General features: G+C 38.9%; 1 protein-coding gene and 1 long non-coding RNA gene across 2 annotated transcripts in view; one reads left to right on the forward strand and one right to left on the reverse strand.

Annotated features, from left to right (window-relative positions):
- MCC (MCC regulator of Wnt signaling pathway) overlaps positions 1-24,137 on the reverse strand; it is a 466,348-nt gene that overhangs the window by 375,989 nt on the left and 66,222 nt on the right. The gene's annotated exons all lie outside the window — the stretch shown is intronic.
- The window catches only part of LOC107986366 (uncharacterized), a 59,223-nt gene continuing 36,932 nt past the window's right edge, over positions 1,847-24,137 (forward strand). Inside the window, exon 1 of the long non-coding RNA XR_001742459.2 lies at positions 1,847-1,905. This is a non-coding gene — a long non-coding RNA (uncharacterized LOC107986366). The remainder of the gene's footprint in view (positions 1,906-24,137) is intronic.

Here is a 24,137-nt window from a genome sequence, read left to right on the forward strand (position 1 = left end):
ACTAATCATCAGAGAAATGCAAATCAAAACCACAGTGAGGTACCATCTCACACTAGTCAGAATGGTTATTGTTAAAACGTCAAAAAATAACATTTGTCAGTGAGGCTGTGGAGAAAGGGGAATGCTTGTGCACTGTTGGTGGGAATGTAAATTAGTTCAGCCACTGTGGAAAGCAGTTTGGAGATTTCTCAAAGAACTAAACATGGAACTATTCGACCCAGCAATCCTATTACTGGGTATATACCCAAAGGAATATAAATCATTCTACCAAAAAGACACGTGCACTTGTATGCTAATCACAGCACTATTCACAATAGCAAAGACATGGAATCAACCTAGGTACTCATCAGTGATGGATTGGATAAAGAAAATGCACATATATACCATGGAATACCATGCAGCCATAAAACAGAATGAAATCATGTCCTTTGCAGCAACATGAATGTAGCCAGAGGCCATTAACCCAAGTGAATTAACACAAGAACAGAAAACCAAATACCACATGTTCTCACTTATAAGTAGGAGCTAAACAATGGGTACACATGCACATAAAGATGGCAACGATAGACACTTGGGAGCTACTACATGGGAGAGGGAGGAAGGAGATCAAAGGTTGAAAAATTATTGGGTACTATGTTCACTATCTGGGTCATGGGTTCAATTGTATCCCAAAACTCAGCATCACGCAATATACCCATGTAAGCTTTTTTGTAAAACTAGGATTTCCAATAAGCAACTTTCTCAATATTCTTTATTTTGAAACCTATTTCAATTTATTTTGAAGTCTATTTTAACCCTGGGAATTAGTATTTGTAGTCTTGAACTGTACTGTTCAATATGGCAGCCACTAGTCACAGGTGGCTGTTTAAGTTTACATTTAAATTAATTAAAATGAAATATAATTAAAAATTCAGTTCCTCAGTTGTACTAGATCAACAGCCACATTTCAGATGCTCAGGAGCCACACTGGACAGCACAAGTATAGAATATGTTTTGTTCATCACAGAAAGTTCTAACACTGGAAAAAATAAAATAGTCTACAATATCTTCAAATAGCTTCAGGCAATAGTATCAGTTAAGGAAGGAGATTATTTAAAATGTCAGTTATTGGCCAGGTGCGGTGGCTCACGCCTGTAATCCCAGCACTTTGGGAGGCCGAGGCAGGCGGATCACGAGATCAGGAGATTGAGACCATCCTGGCTAACAAGGTGAAACCCTGTCTCTACTAAAAATACAAAAAATTAGCCGGGCGTGGTGGCAGGCACCTGTAGTCCCAGCTACTTGGGAGGCTGAGGCAGAAGAATGGAGTGAACCCGGGAGGTGGAGCTTGCAGTGAGCAGAGATTGTGCCACTGCACTCCAGCCTGGCCGACAGAGCAAGACTCTGTCTCAAAAAAATAAATAAATAAATAAAAGTCAGTTATTATTAAGGTTATTTACTAAGTTATTATTCTAAGTAAATAAGGAAAATAGAAGCTTTTTTCCCCTCAGAACATAAAAACACTATTATAAATTTGTTAGTATTTTGCAGCTGATTTTCTAATTTTGGATTCATTTCTACTTATGGAACATATAAAAACTACTCACTTTTTGATTAAGGAAATCAGATTCAAATTCATGTCCAAATCACCATCCCCTTATGAAAACATTTTGGTTGAAAGATTTATAGGACTTCTGGGGCAAGCAGAAGGGTAAGGATGTTTCCTAGAGAAAGCACCAGCTTTGCCTTCTTAGATTTGAGTTACTGCAATACTAATTCCTTCTGATGTTTGGCCTGAACTTTCTAAGAGGTCACAGAAATAATGAATAGCTAAGATCATTCACTGGCATGATAGTTTCCCCTTTCCAGGTGAAACGTCAAGAATGACTAAAAGCCAACATTCAAGAAGACAGCATCTGCAAACAAGTGAAGTATTATGTTTACATGTTTTTTTAACAGCTTTTTATTCTATAGTTCTTTTACATGTGACTGTTTCCTAATATTCTTACTCTTTATTGTTTTGGCCCTCTCCTTTTTTACTTTTTTTTTTTTTTTTTTTTTTTTTTTGAGATGGAGTCTTACTGTGTCGCCCAGGCTGGAGTGCAGTGGTGCGATCTTGGCTCACTGAAACCTTCCCCTCCCGGGTTCAAGTGATTCTCCCGCCTCAGCCTCCCGAGTAGCTGGAATTGCAGGCGCCCGCCACTATGCCCAGCTAATTTTTGTACTTTTAGTAGAGACAGGGTTTCACCATAATGGCCAGGCTGGTCTCAAACTTCTGACCTCAGGTCATCTGCCTTCCTCGGCCTCCCAAAGTGCTGGGATTACAAGCGTGAGTCACCGCGCATGGCCTGTTTTGGCTCTCTCTTAATTTGATGTTTCCTATTGACACTGTAGTGAAAGAAAATACTTTAATGTATTTCCCCCTTGGATTATTTCTTTAAATCAGTAAATTAACATTTGGTATTAAGCAAGACTCAGCCTATCTTCACAATGATTTGTAAAAACTTCTCAAAAGCAGTCTCTGCCATTCTTGGGGAAAAATACTCATTCAGAGGCTATACAAAGTATTTTAGATATATTTTTTCATTTAATTCTCACAATAGCAGATCTTATTTTCATTTTACAGGGTCTATCAGTGCCTTGTAAAAGGAAATCTGTCCCAAATTCCTGGCACCATACTTGGTACACAGCAGGTACTTAAACAGCTTGGTGGATGAATGAATGAACAAAGAGCACCTTTTTGTTAATCTCAGTGACAGATGTAGAATCTTACAGTGAGCACTCAGTAAATCCTCACTAATTGAATATTCTAGCAATAATGGTCAGTATGACAAATGAGTAAGTAGCTCTTAATATATCAGTGTCCTTCCAAAAATCCCACTAAAGCTAAGCAATGGACCCCAGATCCAAACATTATGTAAGGCAGTCATGTCTGAAAGATATAGAAAGAGGGAATACTTGGAAGAGACCTAATACATAGGTTTTGGGGCAATAAAATTATTTGGGAAATGAACCACTTTTTAAAAATTTATTTCTAAGTGTATTTTAATAATACTTCCAGAATAGTTATTCCTTCAGATCATTTCAGGTCACACTTTTTATGGGAAAATTACACACTTAACACCATTATTATAAAAAGACAATTGCACCCAATTTCTTTCACCAGGGTAAAAAGATGTATATTACAACATGTATTTAATATATAAAAGATTCACAGTGTACTGTGAATGATAAACTTACAATTATGTTTATTTTTTCCATTGTAAAAAAGGAGTAAAGGTAGAAGATAAAGCAAAATTTTTCACTAAGTGCTACTCAATAGAATAACCAAGTCTAAGCAATGTTTTAGGCTAGGATCCAAAGGTGTACTTGACCCCTGGCTCTTTAAATTGAAGTGGCCCATCCACAGAGCCTGCTACCAGCCTTCTCAATCCTCTGTCCCTTGGTCCCATTGTCTTTCTCATTTAGCAGCCTTCTCAGTATTTCTTGCTTCCCACATCATTTGAACCTGTATGTCTGACCTCCGAACCTCCAGACTCTGCTCACACAGTTAGGGACTGTTGCATTCATACTGAGAATAGATGTTCCCAATGTTTATTTTGGCTCCTTGGGTCTTACCTTGGCCTGGACAGAAACCTAAACCTTTCCCTGAGGCTGAGACTGTGACATGTGCAAATTTCCCCAGGTTTTCTTATTTATATATATATATATATATTCTCCTCTAGAAGTTAAAAACTTTATTTTTGTATTTTTAAAATTTTACATATTTTTAAAATTATTATTACTATTTTTTTGAGACAGGGTCTTCCTCTGTCACCCAGGTTGGAATGCAGTGGTGTGATCATAGTTCACTGTAACCTCAAACTCCTGGGCTCAAGCGATCCTCCTGCCTCAGCCTCCCAAGTAGGTAGGACTATGGGGGCACAAAAACACACTCAGGGCCGGGCGCGGTGGCTCACGCCTGTAATCCCAGCACTTTGGGAGGCCGAGGCGGGTGGATCACGAGGTCCGGAGATCAAGACCACCCTGGCTAACACGGTGGAATCCCGTCTCTACTAAAAATACAAAAAATTAGCCCGACGTAGTGGCAGGCGCCTGTAGTCCCAGCTACTCCGGAGGCTGAGGCAGGAGAATGGCGTGAACCCGGGAGGCGGAGCTTGCAGTGAGCTGAGATTGCGCCACTGCACTCCAGCCTGGGCAACAGAGCCAGACTCCGTCTCAAAAAAAAAAAAAAAAAACACACTCAGCTAATTTTTTTAATTCTGTGTAAAGATGGGGTCTTGCTATGATGGCCAGGCTGGTCTTGAACTCCTGGCCTCAAGTGATCCTCTCAGCCTCCCAAAGAGGTGGGAATACAGGTGTGAGCCACTGCACCTGGCCTACCAAAAAATTTTTAAAACACTCAGCACATGGAGGATTTTTTTTAATTTCAAAGTGACCACAATAAAGTTCTCCTAAATATCTTCCAAACTACTTTAGTTTTAGAAAATGGCATTAACGCAAAAATAATATGGGTGAAATGCTACTTTACACTTTTTTAAGGGTTAAAAAATGCAAATTGTTTTCATGTATAATATTCTGTCTTATTCTACTCACTCTCTCAGATTATAATCAAAATATTATAGCACAAGAAGCAAATGAGGGCTTGTAGTCTGATTACAGAAAGGAGAAGGAGGAGATTTAATGCAGCATAGGCAGCAGCCTCAGGCAAGAAATGTTGTCATTGTGTCTCACATCCTCAAGTATTACATGAAGATATCGTCCAGGCTGGAGGGCAGTGGTGCGATCATAGTTCACTGCAGCCTTGAACTCCAGGGTTCAAGTGATCCTTCTGCCTCAGCCTTCACACCCAGATAATTTGTTTAAAAATTTATTGTAGAGACAGGTCAATTTTTAATATTAGATTCAATGCTGCCAAATTGCTATAAAAGATTTGAACACTTTTATGCTTTCAGTGTTCAAAGACTTTCATAGCAATTTGGCAGCATCTTGTACTTACCTTGCTGCAGATTGGCAAGAAAAGACTAGTCTGTGGCCCACTCTGAGTAGCACTGTTCTAGATGTCATGAATATGGCTAAAACTATCCCTTACCTTATAGATTAGAGACCAGTGTGGGAAGGAATGGCACAGAACAGCAACAATGCCAGTATTAGCCATGGTAGCTTGCCATCATTGTTTACTTTGACGTACCATTCTAAGGAAAGTAAGTGCACACTGTAAGAACATTTAAGTCTATTTCAGTATTCGTAAACACTGTACTGGGGAAACAACTCATAGTAATGCCATCAACGTTTTATATTTAAAATATACCTAAGTTAAAGTTAAATCCCAGAAATAAAAAATCCTTCAACTAACCACGATCACATATTTAAATGAGTACTGTGAACTAGGTGTTCTACGTAATTAAACAAAAGGGGCTCTTCATGTTTCAGAAATTTGTAGTACAAATCATATCACAGATTATAAAGCATTCATCACAAGGAAGGAGCTTCTTCTGGTTTGGCCTGGATCTGTAGTGTTACAATAGTGGCTGAGAGAGAGGTGGTAAAGTTCCAGCCGGAGTAATAACAAGCTGTTTGGACAAGAAGGAGAGAAGAGGAAGGTGGGAAATGAAGGAGGAAAGGAAGCAGCAGAGGGAGCGAGCTGTAAGCCCCCAGCGGGATTGCCATCAGGGAGCCAGACCCAGGGGTGAGAATGTGAGGTCCAGTTAGTGGAGCGGCTCAATGGTAAAGTGATAGCTACATGACACCACCAACACTTTGGTTTTAAAAATGTCAAAACTTCAGTTTGTTTCTTTTTTTCTTTTTTTGAGACAGAGTTTCACTGTTGTCACCCAGGCTGGAGTGCACTGGTGTGATCTCAGCATACTGCAACCTCCGCCTCCCGGGTTCAAGCGATTCTCCTGCCTCAGCCTCCTGAGTAGCTGGGATTACAGGCACGGGTCATCATGCCCAGCTAATTTTTGTATTTTTAGTAGAGATGGCATTTCACCACATTGGCCAGGCTAGTCTTGAACTCCTGACCTCAGGTGATCTGCCCGCCTCAGACTCCCAAAGTGCTGGGATTACAATTGTGAGCCACCACACCCGGCCCAGTTTGTTTCTTTATTTGAGGGTGAGAAGATCCCCTCCTATAATTTTGAAGTCAAGGAAACCTCTCTAATGTTTCTTTGCACTGCCAAAATTCACAGCTCTGAAACATCAACACTTCCCTTATTTCCCTCATCTATGAGGAAACACATAGAGAAATAAGTCTGTTTTCTTAAAAGCAATGCCCTCAAATGGCTGTAAAAGAATACAGTGGCCAGGATTGTGGGAAAATGAGTCCTGGTCACAGACAGAAAGTCACCAATGTAACACTGTGGCCAAGTTCAGAAAAAACGCCCACCAGTGACAAAGGCCAGATCTAGGATATAAAAGCAAAGGTCACTCTCACAGCCTGCTGCAACATTCACTGCAGTTTGGCAGTCTTTGTCAAAATCAAAATTGTACTTGCTTTTCTTTTGGTTCAGCGATTCCATTTCTAGAAATGTATCCTAGGGATATGTTGATGACTGAACAGAGTTATTCAATGCAGCACTATTTATATTAGCAGAAGACTGGAAATCATCTAAATATCCACTGATGGAGGCCTGGTAAATAAATTATGCTCCATCTATACAATGCCATGAATACTAAACAGTCTTCCAAAATAACAAAGCAGCTCTGTATAATGGTGGCACAACATCCAAAATCAATCAAGTTAAAAAAAAAGGCAGGTGCAGATCAGTGCGTGTCATACAATGATACATACAAAAGTAGTAGTAAAATATGTATCTGCAGGACTTGATGTGCACAGACTACATCTGGAAGGAGACCTACGGAGCTGTTACCAGTGACTGACTGTAAAAAGAGGACCATGTCTGGAGGACAGAGATGGGACAGAAGCCTACTCTGCCACTAACCTTTTTGAACACATTTGAATTTTTATTCATATGTATGTTTAAGGCATTTTTTAAAAAGCTACATACCAGCTCTATAGTGGCAGTCAGCATCCTGATATCTAAAAAGCAATGTTAGAGAAAAATAAGCCAAGGAACTTAGCTTTGGCATCCAGTGCCCTGCCAAGAAGAAAACCAAATGCCTCCTTACAGTAGATCAGCTTACAGGTTATTCCAGTTATTATCCTGTCAAGATATTTTAGTAGCTTGCAATTTACACTTGGCCTTGACAGTAGTTCCCTTCAGTTGTCCAAAGTGTATCAGTTAATCTTCTGCAGGTGACTTATGTAATAAGAGCATCAGTATATAAGATATTTAAGCAGGATTTAATTACCTGGTAGTTGGAGAGAATTTGAATTCTTTTCACTCTCCAAATTTTGTAAAGATAAAAAAGGTATTAAAATCTGCCAGGCAAGGTGGTTTGGTAGGAAAAAACAGATGAAATATGCTGTGGGCCAGGTGTGGTGGCTTATGCCTGTAATCCCAGCACTTTGGGAGGCAGAGGCAGGAGGATTTCTTGATGCCAGGAGTTCAAGACTAGCCTGGGCAACATAGGGAGACATCCGCCCCCCAACCCCGATCTCTACAATTTTCTTTTTAAAAATTAGCCAGGCGTGGTGGCATGTGCCTGTAGTCCTAGCTACTTAGAAAGCTAAGGTGGGAAGATCCTTTGAGCTCAGGAATGCGAGCCTGCAGTGAGCCATGATGGCACCACTCCACTCCAGCCTAGGTGATGAGCGAGACCCTATCTCAAAAAAAAAAGAAAAAAGAAAAAAAAGTTGTAGTTTTGTACCGTAAAAATACTTATTAATATTATTTCAAGTATTTAGCATATGTTTACATGACTACATTTTCCTTTTGAGCATCACTCTAAGATTTTCAATGCAAAGCATTATTTTCCTCCTGATGATCAGAAAATCAAAATGCTCTCTCTACTCCATCCCCCTTCTAAATAATTATGTCTCAAAAGCGGCACAATTCAAGGGCTAATTACTTCCAACCAATATATAAATTAAAAGTTCACAGGTTCATCTTAGAAATAACAACCGAGAAAGAACATTCAAACTTGTTAAAAGCCTTACTTCTTGCCTGCACTATTGAATGTGCAATTTGTTCATCCTGAGAAATTATGATGAAGTTAAACACAAACAGCACTAAGTTAATTACAAACAAATCTTCTTCTCTGTAATTTACATTCTAGAATCCAGCTTTACACCATTTTATTTCCTTCCAGCTGAAGGAAAGACATTGCTAGCTTAAGATTGTCTTGGATGAGATCTCTGATTTTAATAAAAAATTAAGGCAGTCACAAATTCACTTATGCCATCGAATAATAATTCTAGTCCCATTGGAGAGTTATCTAAAATGACCCAAATCAGCCACATTTCTGTTGGCATATAATTAACTCCTGCCCGTATAAACGTAACGCAGATTCTCCTCCAGGTGAAACTGTCCTGGTCCTCTGCCCTCTCCACTGAACCAGCAATAAAAAGAGTTCTCTATAATCCTATTTGTAGTCTACATCTATACTCACTAGTGAAAGTATAATTAAACCATCTTTTTTTTCAAATCGATCTAAATATAGCTGGCTATTCATTCAGAATAATATTTGAAAAACACTTTTCACTTATAGAAAAGCAAATGAGGAACAAACTAAGAAGTAAAAGATAATGTTTACATTTGAGACTTTAAAGTTACACGCACCTTACAAAGAGAATTTAGAGTCACTGATATCCTACCAGCAGGTTCAACCAGAAGTCCTGCATGCAGAGAACCTCAGTGAGGTTTGCGTGGATCTCCAAGAAGAGATTTCAAAGGTGGGAGCAAGTGCCATCCTTAGGCCTGCCTTAAAGGTTCTACACCCCTTGAGCCTGGCCCATCTGGCTCAATATCAATTGTAGCAGAATAGATAAGTAAATAACTATTTATATACTTAGTGAGAACAGATGCAGCCCCTAAATATAAATTTGGAAATCCTGGGCAACATAAGAAGTGCTTATAATAAACTGCTTAAGATAAAAAGGCAGAAAAAAAATTGTTATCTACAGTGCTTATAACTCTAGAGTAAGTTAAAATAATTATTATTTATTGGACACATACTTTGTGCTCAGCAATTGACATAATCCTCTTAATAAACATGCAAAGAGGTTAAGTAACTTGCCAGCTATAAAGCAGTTGAGCTGAGACTGAGTTCAAAATCTAGCTGATCTCAAAGGACCGACAGGAAATGTTAAAAAATGAAAACACTTTAAGGAGAAACTGGGTGGTAAGTGTATTATGGCATTAGGCAGAGTGGAAAGCATTCTTTATGCTCAGATAGGGTGAAATCCTACCTTTGCTATTTTCTAGATGTATGACTGAACCTCTCTCAGTCTCTACAACTGCATCTGCAAAAACTGCAAAAACTGGGACCATTTCCTATTCAGGATAATATCTGAGCAAGTGGTGAGCCAGTGTCTCCCCTACAGCAGGCTCCACAGTACTGCTCCTGTACTCACTCCACCAAGCATCACCTGGTTAAATAATTTTAGACTTGCAAGTTATCTCTGCATTCATTTGGTTAAACTCCCTCATTTTTAAAAATTTTTATTTTGCTTTGAGTCCTGGAATACATGTGCAGAATGTGCAGGTTTGTTACATAGGTATACGTGTGCCATGGGGGTTTGCTGCACCTATCAACCTGTCACCTATATTTTAAGCCCCGCATACATTAGCTATTTGTCCTGATGCTCTCCCTTCCCTCGCACCTCTCCCATCCCAGGAGCCCCTGTGTGTGTTGTTCCCCTCTCTGTGTCCACGTGTTTGCATTGTTCAACTCCCACTTACGTAAACTCCCTCATTTTTAAGAGTAGGAATCTTGAAATGAAAACTTAGCCCAGACACTGAGTTACTGGCTAGTTAGTGCCAAAACTAGGACTAGAATTTAGGTCTCCTAACTTCTTTCCACCTCATTAAGAGGCCTAGTTAGAAGAAGGGAACAGAGGAAAAGCAAAGGGAGATACATTAACACAATCTCCTGATATAACCCCAGCAAACAACCTCAAATCATCTGAAAGGTAGATATCTTTCATACAACCTGGACAGATAAGGTTCCTCATCTCACTTCAAACACTTTAATTAGTTGGTTTCTCAAAGTACAAGTTGTACCCCTTAGGTCTAAGATAGAGGAAGGCAAACTTCTGGAGCAACAAAAATAAACTTAACATATATAGTTTTGCCCTGTGTCTCAGTTTTCCTGAATTCTATCTCTGGCATACACATGACACTAATTTCCATGTTTGTTCTATTTTCAAAAGAAAAAAGAGGGAAGGGAAAGATGTTCTGGGATCAAATACGAGATCTTTTTCTTGGAGATACAACATGTACTGTATTATATTAAACACTACAAACTTTAAAGGAAACTTGTTAAATTCTTTTCAGCCCAATCTTTACCTGACAATGAATTATCCTCACTGGCCTGTTGAGTGTGAAACAAATGCTCCACAGAATATACCTAGCGCTGAGGTTCTTAAAATGTAGTCGTGAGACCAGCAGCATCAGCATGACCTGGGAACTGGTTAGAAATATGAGCTCTCAGGTCCAAACCCAGACCTACTGAATGAGACTCCTGAAGTGTTTCCCAAGTTCTCCAGGGTTTCGATTAGAGCTAAAGGTTGATAACCACAAATGTAGACAAATCATCAAGGTGGTTTTATCATGAATATTGGTTGTTTTGGGGGTTCTCCTAGGGGTAGTGCTTTCAAACTGCTCCTTAGGACTGAGTAGAGCAAGGGAGCAGGAGATGGATGAACATGTACCAGGCTTCAGGGCAGATGGCCTAGCCTGTCCCTACCATGTTTGTCTGTTTCATATATAAGGCTACAGACTAAGTAAGGCTTTATTTGAATGAAGTTTTCACAGCTTAAACAAAAGTTTGAAACTCACTGTTTAGAGATTTTAAGCAGCTTAGGACGTGGATCAATTTTAGTGCCTGCTAAAGAGTAATAAATGCCAATTTATCAGTCAGAGGATCCTTTGGTGCCTTTAGGCTGGAATAGAAGGACCAGGGGCCCTGAAGCAACACAGAGATCGAGATTCCCACTGCATTACCCTATATTTGTCTTTCTCCTCTGCACTTAAAAATGTAAAATGCATATTAGCACTTGTCTGGAATGTGGCTAACTATAAAAGACATTTCGGGAAATGTACTCTGATTTTCATTTCCAGACCTTCTTAACATAAATTGAAGTCTTATCACAAAAGCCCCATTCTCATAAACAACAAAAACGCAACATCCACAGATTCTATTAATAACACTGTTAAATACTTTTTTTTTTTAGACAGGGTCTTGCTCTGTTGTCCAGCCTGGAGTGCAGTGGTGTGATCACGGCTCACTGCAGCCTTGATCTCCTTGGATCAAGAAATCCTCCTGCCTTAGCCTCCCAATTAGCTGGAACCACACGTGTGCACCAACACACCTGGCTAATTTTTAAATTTCTTGTAAAGATGGGGTCTCACTATGTAGCCCAGGCTGCTCTTGAACTCCTGAGCTCAAGCAAACCTCCTGCCTTGGCCTCCCAAAGTGGTGGGATTACAGGCATGAGCCAGTGTGCCTGCCTTAAATATTTGAATGTTACACATAAACCATTAGGATAATTCTTACCAATTAAGATTTAGTAATTTTAAAGAAAAATAAGAATCATGTACTCTCTCATTCCCACCCCACTCCAATACTAAGGGCAATTTATGCATCAGATAGTGAGGACAAGGATATTTAGTCTCTGTCCCTTCCTAGACTCGAGACTACGGTCTCACATTTTGTGGTCAAAAATAAAACATATGCTCACTATAAAATTTTATTTTAATAAGGAAAATAGGAAAAGCAAAGAAAAATTATTTATAATCATATTTTCCATTAAAAACTTGTATATTCTTAAAGACACTGTTCCAGGGAAATATCTATATATTGATAGATACAGAAATATAGTTCTACACTTATGTGTGTGGATCTGTCTATGTAACGGAATTTATTTCTCAAATGACATACCTATGTCTCTGTCTCCGTATAACTTCCCCCAACGGGATCTTGCTGAACATACTGTTTTATAACTAGTGTACTCCATGTAGCAAAAAATCATAAAAACCTTTCCGTGTTAAGAAATATGGTTCTGCGTATGGATATGCTATACCTATACAAGGGATACCTTGTGGATATCCATTATGGATTTTTATATCCATTTAACATCATATTATGTTGTATCTATACAATGGATACAATGGATATCCACAAGGTATCCACTATATAGATATAACATAATATGATTTTAAAATTTATTTAATTGGTAACTTCCATCATGTATTTCTTATAAAAGTGCTGTGATAAACATTGTTGAACACTTGTCTGATCAATTCGGTAGGTTAAATTCTTAGAGTTCACGAGTCAAAAAAATTATTCTTGGCTGGGCGTGGTGGGTCATGTCTGTGATTCCAGGGCTTTGGAAGGCTGAGGTTTAAATATCTGACACTGCGGGATAGTAAAATGAATTGTGCTACATCTGCATAATGAATTATTATGCAACTCTTATTTTTAAATTATACTTTAAGTTATGAGGTACATGTGCACAACGTGCAGGTTACATAGGTATACATGTGCCATGTCGGATTGCTGCACCCATTGAGACGTCATTTACATTAGGTGTTTCTCCCAGTGCTATCCCTCCCCCAACGCTCCACCCTACAACAGGCCCTGGTGTGCGATGTTCCCTGCCCTGTGTCCATGTGTTCTCGTTGTTCAATTCCCACCTATGAGTGAGAACACATGGTGTTTGGTTTTCTGTCCGTGTGATAGTTTGCTCAGAATGATGGTTTCCAGCTTCATCCATGTCCCTGCATAGGACATGAACTCATCCTTTTTTATGGCTGCATAGTATTCCATGGTGTATATGTGCCACATTTTCTTAATCCAGTCTATCATTGATGGACATATAGGTTGGTTCCAAGTCTTTGCTATTGTGAATAGTGCCACAATAAACATACATGTGCATGTGTCTTCATAGCAGCATGATTTATCATCCTTTCGGTATATAACCAGTAATGGGATTGCTGGGTCAAATGGTATTTCTAGCTCTAGATCCTTGAGGAATTGCCACACTGTCTTCCACAATGGTTGAACTATTTTACACTCCCACCAACAGAGTAAAAATGTTTCAATTTCTCCATATCCTCTCCAGCATCTGTTGTTTCCTGCCTTTTTAATGATTGCCATTCTAACTGGTGTGAGATGGTATCTCACTGTGGTTTTGATTTGCATTTCTCTGATGACCAGTGATGATGAGCATTTTTTCATGTGTCTGTTGGCTGCATACATGTCTTCTTTTGAGAAGTGTCTGTTCATATCCTTTGCCCACTTGTTGATGGGGTTATCTGCTTTTTTCTTGTAAATTTGTGTAAGTTCTTTGTAGATTCTGGATATTAGACATTTGTCAGATAAGGTAAAAAGCATGCATTCTCTCTAAGTTTCAGGAGCGATTTTTTTTTTCAGGAGTAATTCTTAACTCCAACCACCTACAATGTCACCCACAATCTATAATCAGAGATTTTTACACTTTAATTAAAAGATTCATAAAAACAGCTAACCTTTAAAAAGAAAAAAGCAAAATAAAAAAAAATTTTCTCCCATTCTGTAGGTTGCCTGTTCACTCTGATGGTAGTTTCTTTTGCTGTGCAGAAGCTCTTTAGTTTAATTAGATCCCATTTGTCTATTTTGGCTTTTGTTGCCATTGCTTTCGGTGTTTTAGTCATGAAGTCCTTGCCTATGCCTATGTCCTGAATGGTATTCCCTGGGTTTTCTTCTAGGGTTTTTATAGTTTTTGGTCTAACATTTAAGTCTTTAATCCATCTTGAATTAATTTTTGTAAAAGGTGTAAGGAAGGGATCCAGTTTCAGCTTTCTACATATGGCTAGCCAGTTTTCCCAGCACCATTCATTAAATACAAAATCCTTTCCCCATTTCTTGTTTTTGTCAGGTTTATCAAAGATCAGATAGTTGTAGATGTGTGGTGTTATTTCTGAGGCCTCTGGTCTGTTCCATTGATCTATATCTCTGTTTTGGTAGCAGTACCATGCTATTTTGGTTACTGTAGCCTTATAGTATAGTTTGAAGTCAGGTAGCGTGATGCCTCTAGCTTTGTTCTTTTTGCTTAGGATTGTCCTGACAATGCAGGCTCTTTTTTGGTTCCATATGAACTTTAAAGTAGTTTTTTCCAGTTCTGTGAAGAAAGTCATTGGTAGCTTGATGGGGATGGCATTGAATCTATAAATTACCTTGGGCAGTATGGTCATTTTCACAATATTGATTCTTCCTATCCATGAGCATGGAATGTTTTTCCATTTGTTTGTGTCCTCCTTTATTTCGTTGAGCATGGTTTGTAGTTCTCCTTGAAGAGGTCCTTCACATCCCTTGTAAGTTGGATTCCTAGGTATTTTATTCCCTTTGTAGCAATTGTGAATGGGAGTTCACTCATAATTTGGCTCTCTGTTTGTCTGTTATTGGTGTATAGGAATGCTTGTGATTTTTGCACACTGATTTTGTATACTGAGACGTTGCTGAAGTTGCTTATCAGCTAAAGGAGATTTTGGGCTGAGATGATGGGGTTTTCTAAATATGCAATCATGTCATCTGTAAACAGGGACAATTTGACTTCCTCTTTTCCTAATTGAATACCATTTATTTCTTTCTCTTGCCTGACTGCCCTGGCCAGAATTTCAAACACTATGTTGAATAGGAGTGGTGAGAGAGGACAACACAGTGTTGTGCCAGTTTTCAAAGGGAATGCTTCCAGGTTTGTCCATTCAGTATGATATTGGCTGTGGGTTTGTCATAAATAGCTCTTATTATTTTGAGATACGTCCCATCAATACCTAGCTTATTGAGAGTTTTTAGCATGAAGAGTTGTTGAATTTTGTCAAAGGCCTTTTCTGCATCTATTGAGATAAGCATGTGGTTTTTGTCGTTGGTTCTGTTCATGTGATGGATTACGTTGATTGATTTGCGTACGTTGAACCAGCCTTGCATCCCAGGGATGAAGCCCACTTGATCATGGTGGATAAGCTTTTTGATGTGCTGCTGGATTCGGTTTGCCAGTATTTTATTGAGGATTTTTGCATCGATGTTCATCAAGGATATTGGTCTAAAATTCTCTTTTTTGGTTGTGTCTCTGCCAGCCTTTGATATCAGAATGATGCTGTCCTCATAAAATGAGTTAGGCAGGATTCCCTCTTTTTCTATTGATTGGAATAGTTTCAGAAGGAATGGTACCAGCTCCTCTTTGTACCTCTGGTAGAATTTGGCTGTGAATCCATCTGGTCCTGGACTTTTTTTGGTTGGTAGGCTATTGATTATTGCCTCAATTTCAGAGCCTGTTATTGGTCTCTTCAGAGATTCAACTTCTTCCTGGTTTAGTCTTGGGAAGGTGTATGTGTCCAGGAATTTATCTATTTGTTCTAGCTTTTCTAGTTTATTTGCATAGAGGTGTTTATAGTATTCTCTGATGGTAGTTTGTATTTCTGTGGGATCGGTAGTGATATCCCCTTTATCATTTTTTATTGCATCTATTTGAATCTTCTCTCTTTTCTTCTTTATTAGTCTTGCTAGCAGCCTATCAATTTTGTTGATCTTTTCAAAAAACCAGCTCTTGGATTCACTGATTTTTGAAGGGTTTTTTTGTGTCTCTATCTCCTTCAGTTCTGCTCTGATCTTAGTTATTTCTTGGCTTCTGCTAGCTTTTGAATTTGTTTGTTCTTACTTCTCTAGTTCTTTTAATTGTGATGGTAGGGTGTCAATTTTAGATCTTTCCTGCTTTCTCTTGTAGGCATTTAGTGCTATAAATTTCCCTCTACACACTGCTTTAAATGTGTCCCAGAGATTCTTGTATGTTGTGTCTTTGTTCTCATTGGTTTCAAAGAACATCTTTATTTCTGCCTTCATTTTGTTATTTACCTAGTAGTCATTCAGGAGCAGGTTGTTCAGTTTCCATGTAGTTGTGCGGTTTTGAGTGTGTTTCTTAATCCTGAGTTCTAATTTGATTGCACTGTGGTCTGAGAGACAGTTTGTTGTGATTTCTGTTCTTTTACATTTACATATGCTTTACTTCCAACTATGTGGTCAATTTTGGAATAAGTGCGATTTGGTGCTGAGAAGGATGTATATTCTGTTGATTCGGGGTGGAGAGTTCTGTAGATGTCTATTAGGTCCACTTGGTGCAGAGCTGAGTTCAAGTCCTGAATATCCTTGTTAACCTTCTGTCTCATTGATCTGTCTAACATTGACAGTGGGGTGTCAAAGTCTCCCATTATTATTGTGTGAGAGTCTAAGTCTCTTTGTAGGTCTCTAAGGACTTGCTTTATGAATCTGGGTGTTCCTGTATTGAGTGCATATATATTTAGGACAGTTAGCTCTTCTTGTTGAATTGATCCCTTTACCATTATGTAATGGCCTTTGTCTCTTTTAATCTTTGTTGGTTTAAAGTCCGTTTTATCAGAGACTAGAATTGCAACCCCTGCTTTTTTTTTGCTTCCATTTGCTTGGTAGATCTTCCTCCATCCCTTTATTTTGAGCCTATGTGTGTCTCCGCACATGAGATGGGTCTCCTGAATATAGGACACTGATGGGTCTTGACTCTTTATCCAATTTGCCAGTCTGTGTCTTTTAATTGGGGCATTTTAGCCCACTTACATTTAAGGTTAATATTGTTATGTGTGAATGTGATCCTCACATTATGATGTCAGTTGCTTATTTTGCCCGTTAGTTGATGCAGTTTCTTCCTAGCATAGTTGGTCTTTACAGTTTGTCATGTTTTTGCAGTGGCTGGTACCAGTTGTTCCTTTCTTTCTTTAGTGCTTCCTTCAGGAGCTCTTGTAAGGCAGGCCTGGTGGTGACAAAATCTATCAGCATTTGCTTGTCTGTAAAGGATTTTATTTCTCCTTCACTTATGAAGCTTAGTTTGGCTGGATATAAAATTCTGGGTTGAAAATTCTTTTCTTTAAGAATGTTGAATATTGGCCCCCACTCTCTTCTGGCTTGTAGAGTTTCTGCCGAGAGATCTGCTGTTAGTCTGATGGGCTTCCCTTTGTGGGTAACCCGACCCTTCTCTCTGGCTGCCCTTAACATTTTTTCCTTCATTTCAACTTTGGTGAATCTGACAATTATGTGTCTTGGGGTTGCTTTTCTCGAGGAGTATCTTTGTGGTGTTCTCTGTATTTCCTGAATTTGAATGTTGGCCTGCCTTGCTAGGTTGGGGAAGCTCTCCTGGATAATATCCTGAAGAATGTTTTCCAACTTGGTTCCATTCTCCTCGTCACTTTCAGGTACACCAATCAAATGTAGATTTGGTCTTTTCACATAGTCCCGTATTTCTTGGAGGCTTTGTTCGTTTCTTTTTATGCTTTTTTCTCTAACCTTCTCTTCTTGCTTTATTTCATTAATTTGATCTTCAATCACTGATACCCTTTCTTCCACTTGATCGAATTGGCTATTAAATCTTGTGCATGCGTCACGTAGTTCTCGTGCCATGGTTTTCAGCTCCATCAGGTCATTTAAGGTCTCCTCTACACTGTTTATTCTATTTAGCCATTGGTCTAATCTTTTTTCAAGGCTTTTAGCTTCCTTGTGATGGGTTCGAACATCCTCCTTTAGCTTGGAGAAGTTTGTTATTACCGACCTTCTGAAGCCTACTTCTGTCAGCTTGTCAAAGTCATTCTCCGTCCAGCTTTGTTCCATTGCTGGCGAGGAGCTGTGATCCTTTGGAGGAGAAAAGGCGCTCTGGTTTTTAGAATTTTCACCTTTTCTGCTCTGGTTTCTCCCCATCTTTGTGGTTTTATCTACCTTTGGTCTTTGATGTTGGTGACCTACAGATGGGGTTTTGGTGAGGCTGTCCTTTTTGTTGATGTTGATGCTATTCCCTGTTGTTTGTTAGTTTCCTTCTAACAGTCAGGTCCCTAAGCTGCAGGTCTGTTGGTGTTTGCTGGAGGTCTACTCCAGACCCTGTTTGCCTGGATATCACCAGCAGAGGCTCAGTTGGAAATGCAGAAATCACCCGTCTTCTGCATTGATCACGCTGGGAGGTGCAGACCAGAGCTGTTCCTATTCGGCCATCTTGGAATGGACCTATGCAACTCTTAAAAAGAATAAGGTCCCGACTTTTCTGTATGCTTAAAAATGTTCATTTAAACAATGTTGGAGAGCTGGGTGTGCTGGCACACACCTGTAGTCTCATCTACTCAGGAGACTGAAACAGGAGGATTGCTTGAGCACAGGAGTTTGAGGTTGTAGTGTGCTATGATCACACCTGTGAATAGCCCCTGCACTCCAGCCTGGGCAACAAGAGATCCCATCTCTTAAAAAAAAAAGTGGCAGGGGGAGCAGGTGGCTAAATAACATGGCAGCTATATATGTATTGATATGGAAAAGTTTCTAATAATAATTGTTATGTAAAAATGCAAGGTACAGAGTGTTTACAGTATATTCTACATACATATATATCTATACATAAATGCATGTATATGTATACACATACGCATGTTCATGGACAACCATTAAAAGGGTTCATAAGAAACAGGTAATGGTAGATGCCCTTGGACAGTTAGATGAAGTGGCTAGAAAACAAAATAGCATGAGAGGAGAGAAATATACTTTCCATTTTAAATAATTTTTCATTCTGGAATTTTGTACCACATACATATATTACTTCTTCAATAATAAACAGATAAAATTGATATCTCATTTTATTTTACATTTTTGACAATTAAAATAAATCGTCAAATATAATGACAATTATTTTTGTCAACAATTTGCAAATTATTGACAAAATTGGTCAATAATTTTATTTACGTATTGGATTTACATATTGGTCATTGCTGTTTCTTACCATGTGAATTGCCTTTTTTTTTTTTTTTTTTTGAGACGGAGTCTTGCTCTGTTGCCAGGCTGGAGTGCAGTGGCACGATCTCGGCTCACTGCAACCTATTTCTCCCAGGTTCAAGTGATTCCCCTGCCTCAGCCTCCCAAGTAGCTGGGACTACAGACGCATGCCACCACGCCTGGCTAATCTTTCGTATTTTAGGAGAGACTGGGTTTCACCATGTTGGCCAGGATAGTCTCAATCTCCTGACCTCATGATCCGCCCACCTAGGCCTCCCAAAGTGCTGGGATTACAGGCGTGAGCCACCGCACCCAGCAGTGAATTGCTTTTTTATGCTCCTGCCTAATATATACCTTTCCAAAATGCCTACAATTGTTTTAAAATCTACAGGCATTTTAGGAAAAGTCCCATACTTCATAAAGCAGAGCTGCTTGTTACTAAGCTACCAGTGGCCATGCTTTCATTTCGGGAAATGCTGTTATGGCTTTAACCATTGTTGCCTAAGAGGTCAGTGATTTCCCTGTGCACCAGTGCAGCAAAGGAGGTCCACTGAGGCACCAAATAGTTTCCCATTTGAAAAGCCACAACCATGACAAACTTGGAAAGAACTTTTCATCTTGGAGTTCTAAAAGCCAATGACATTAAAGTGCATTTTTCTAGATTTCTTATGCACAGGTGTAAGGGACAACATTAAAATATCATACAAGGCCAGGCACGCCTGTAATTCTAGCACTTTGGGAGGCCGAGGCAGGGGGATTGCTTGATGTCAGGAGTTTGAGACCAGCCTGGGCAACATGGTGAAACCCTGTCTCTACAAAAAATACAAAAATAAGCCAGGTATAGTGGTACACGCCTGTAGTCCTAGCTACTCAGGAGGCTGAGGTAGGAGGATCACTCACTTGAGTCCGGGAGATCAAGGCTACAGTGAGCTGAGATAGTGCTACTGCACTCCAGCCTGGGTGACAGAGTGAGACACTATTTCCAAAAAAAAAAAAAAGTCATACAAAAGTGAAAATAAGAAATAATTTTCCTAGTGTCACTTATAAAGGATATGAGACTTAAATACTACAGAATTTAGAAGGTGACTGCATACTGTTTGCAGTCATTTCCTCCCTCATGTCTTTTTTGGAGATACAGCATCTAAAGCTACATGTTGGATTTGTCTAAGGCCTACTTCTTTTTTCCCTTCTATTTGATAGAGGCTTCAGGTATGATCTCAATTTTCAAATTCAGCAGCACAAACTCAAATCTAATGAACCCCGTTTAAATAGGGGTACACGTTGTGCACATGTACCCTAAAACTTAAAAGTATAATAATAAAATAAAACAAAAATAAAAATAAAAAAGAAAGAAAAGAAAAAAAGGTGAAATATGTTATATGAATTATATCTCAATTGAAATAAAAAATGAATTCATTCATTGTGCCAAAGTTTACCTAAATCTTATATTTAAGATTAAATATAAGATTAAATATACATATGTTTAAATAGACATATGTTCATCTTTCCAAGCAGTGGGAGACCCCAGCTTAGCACACCTTCCTTCTTTTCTGCCAACCTCCAGCCATGTGAAATTTCTTTACCCAGTTAAGCCTTGGTTTGGGCAAGTGAAAAAGGGATTAAAAATATCCACCTCAGAAGTGTATTGTGAAGATTAAAGAAATACTGTATGTAAAGCTTTTAGTGCAGTGCCTGGAACCTAGAAAGCACCTAACAAGTGGCAAAATCTTCATCATTATTATCATCATCATCATCATCATCATCAAGATGAGTACAAGAAAGTAGCCATTTAGCAAAGTGAAAGCAGAACAGACAGAAAACGTATATGAATCTATTACCACAATTAGGGGTAAAAAGGGCCTTTAATTATTTCCTGACAAGTTGCAGACAAAACCAATCAAAAAGCAATGAGTTTCCATGCTGCATCAAGCAGCACCGCATCACAGAGCTCCTCTTCGTGTCTCTCCCAGAACATCACAAAAGGCACAACCAACCAAAGAGGGATGCGTACTTGCAGGAGAACTGAACAATTAAGGGTATGCAACTAACAGAAATGAATTCATTGGGAAAAAGTTTGGCAATTCCTAAGAACGTTAAACACAGAATTACCATGTGACCCAGCAATGACACTCCTAGGTATACATATATCCAAGAACACGTATCTGCTAATAGGTATGAGGTTTCTTTTGAAGGTGATAGGAATATTCTTTTTTTTCTTTCTTTTTTTTTTTTTTGACACAGTCTTGCTCTGCCACTCAGGCTGGAGTGTGGAGTGCAGCGGCGCTATCATAGCTCACTTCAGCCTTCAACTCCTGGGCTCAAGGGATCCTCCCACCTTGGCCTCCCAAGTAGCTGGGACCATAGGTGCATGCCACAACACCTAGCTAATTTTTTACTTATTCTTCTTCTTTTTTTCTTTTTTTTTTCTTGGTAGAGATGGGTCTCGTTATGTGCCCAGGCTGGTCTCAAACTCCTGGACTCAAGCAATCCTCCCACCTCAAGCTCCCAAAGTGCTGGGATTACGGGTGTAAGCCACCATACCCCGTTGTGATAGGAACAGTCTGAAATTTGATAATGGTGGTGACTGCATAACACAGTAAATATATTAAAAACCACTGAATTGTGTACTTTAAAAATGGTGAAATACAATAGCAAAGACTTGGAACCAACCCAAATGTCCAACAATGATAGACTGGATTAAGAAAATGTGGCACATATACACCATGGAATACTATGCAGCCATAAAAAATGATGAGTTCATGTCCTTTGTAGGGACATGGATGAAACTGGAAACCATCATTCTCAGCAAACTATCTCAGGGACAAAAAACCAAACACCGCATGTTCTCACTCATAGGTGGGAATTGAACAATGAGAACACATGGACACAACAAGGGGAACATCACACACCGGGGACTGTTGTGGGGTGGGGGGAGGGGGGAGGGATAGCATTAGGAGATATACCTAATGCTAAATGACGAGTTAATGGGTGCAGCACACCAACATGGCACATGTATACATATGTAACAAACCTGCACGTTGTGCACATGTACCCTAAAACTTAAAAGTATAATAATAAAATAAAATAAAAATAAAAATAAAAAAGAAAAGAAAAAAAGGTGAAATATGTTATATGAATTATATCTCAATTGAAATAAAAAAAGAATTCATTCATTGTGCCAAAGTTTACTTAAATCTTATACTTAAGATTAAATATAAGATTAAATATAAAAATCTTATATTAAGATTAAATCTTAAATATAAGATTAGGCAAAGTAATTTAGAAAAATTATTTTATGCTATCCATAGAAGAAAAAAAGCAAGTGCAACAACAACAGCACCAAAAACAAGTTAGACGCAAAGAATAACAATTAAAAGGAAAAAAGAAATCTGACAGCATTTGCCACTTGTAAAAATTTCTGTTATATGAAGATTATATCAAACAACTCAGGACAAACATTTTTGCCTTATCCCTTGAGCAACTTTATAAGGTTTTTTAGTTTACTTCAAGGGATAACACTTCATTCAAGCAGGGATCATCTCTATGAAATAAATTTTAATATACAAACCTGACAGTAATTCTTCTTCTCTGAAAGACACACTACAGATTCCCAAAACTGAAGTTTGGAACCAAAACTAAGAATCCACGTGACAGCAGGCCCAGAGGTGGACCTTCCACTGCACACCAGTGTGCTTATAAATAGGAAGAAGTATTATTCTATTTTATAAATATAAAGGACATGCTAGTCTATTTTCCCAAGGGTCTCTCAAATCGGGCCTGCCATTAAGCCTATTAACCCAGTTTTTTCATACCAATGATAGTAGGCAGGGAGGACGGCAGCACAACTATTTTCTGTTTTTCCTCCTACACTGACTTTTTTCCTGCTTAACTGCCTTTCCGGGGATATATCAGGCAGTTAGCTCTTTTTGCTATTTGGAATCAAAGGATTCTAAGCACTAATGTTAAATATAATATATTCAAGCTTCTAAAATACTCACTGACTTTACATTATAAATCAGTAATTTGAACTTTATAAAAGTTTACAATTAGTGGAAATTCCGCAAAAGAATTTTATTTATTTATTTTTTTTTTGAGATGGAGTCTCACTCTGTTGCCTAGGCTGGAGTACAGTGGCACGATATCAGCTCACTGCAACCTCTGTCTCCCAGGTTCAAGCGAGTCTCCTGCCTCAGCCTCCTCAAGTAGCTGAGACTACAGGCACGCGCCACCATGCCCAGCTAATTTTTGTATTTTTTAGTAGAAACGGGGTTTCTCCAGGTTGTTCAGGCTGGTCCTGAACTCCTGACCTCATGTGATCTGCCCGCCTGGACTCCCAAAGTGCTGGGATTACAGGTGTGAGCCACTGCACCCGGCCTCTGCAAAAGAATTTTAAATATGACCTTTACCCCCACTGGATTTTCCTGGAATAATTATTTCAGCAAACTTCCCTAGACTTACTGCTCAGAGAAAATAAAACTCTTTAATTTCATAACATTTCTAACTGGTCAGAGAAATAACATATTAATGGTCCATCCTCTGTTATTCACACATATTAAGACTTTCCTAGGCAGTACGATTCTAATAAGGCATCAATACTTTTTGTATCCCCATCTGTTAACTATAAAAACTTCACTTTTCCAAGCTCACATTTACAAGACCCTTTCGCTCATCTGGGTCAGACTGTCTGCAACAGTAGGAAGGACCCAGACTCTCTTCCTGTGACTCTGTTCTACCAGTTTTCACTTCATTTTCCCCACTATTTCTGCTAAATAAACATCCACGGAGCTAATGTATATCCTTGGATCTAGCTGCTGACTCCTTCCCCATTGCCTTTGTCAGTTAATTTCTATTTTCACTCAATTCCACGCTCCATGAGGCTCTGGAGTCCTTGAAATAGTCAATTTCCTAGGATCCAGGGGTGATTTGCTATTTTCTTCACCACTTCCCAGTTCCCTGGGGTCCTTCCATTGCTAATGCTAGTGACAGTATAAATAAGACTATGATAGTAAGATTGCTTCATATAAATGTTTTTGCCACTTTTTCAGCTTTTACTGAGGTATTTGAAGGCCAGAGAAGACAGAATATAAATTAGTGAATCCCTAACAGCAGCAATAAAATTATAGTTAATTCAGTCAGTGCTGTGTTGGTGAAGGTTTAACAATAGGCTCTCTGGGGAGAAAAAGCCTTGATTTGGAGCATTTGCTGATTTCCATGGTAAATACACTCCGGCCATGGTTGATTTGAAGCTATCATTGTCACATCACTGAAAATCACATCTAGTG

Source organism: Homo sapiens, chromosome 5 (genome assembly GCF_000001405.40).
Source record: "Homo sapiens chromosome 5, GRCh38.p14 Primary Assembly".
NCBI classification, from domain to species: domain Eukaryota; kingdom Metazoa; phylum Chordata; class Mammalia; order Primates; family Hominidae; genus Homo; species Homo sapiens.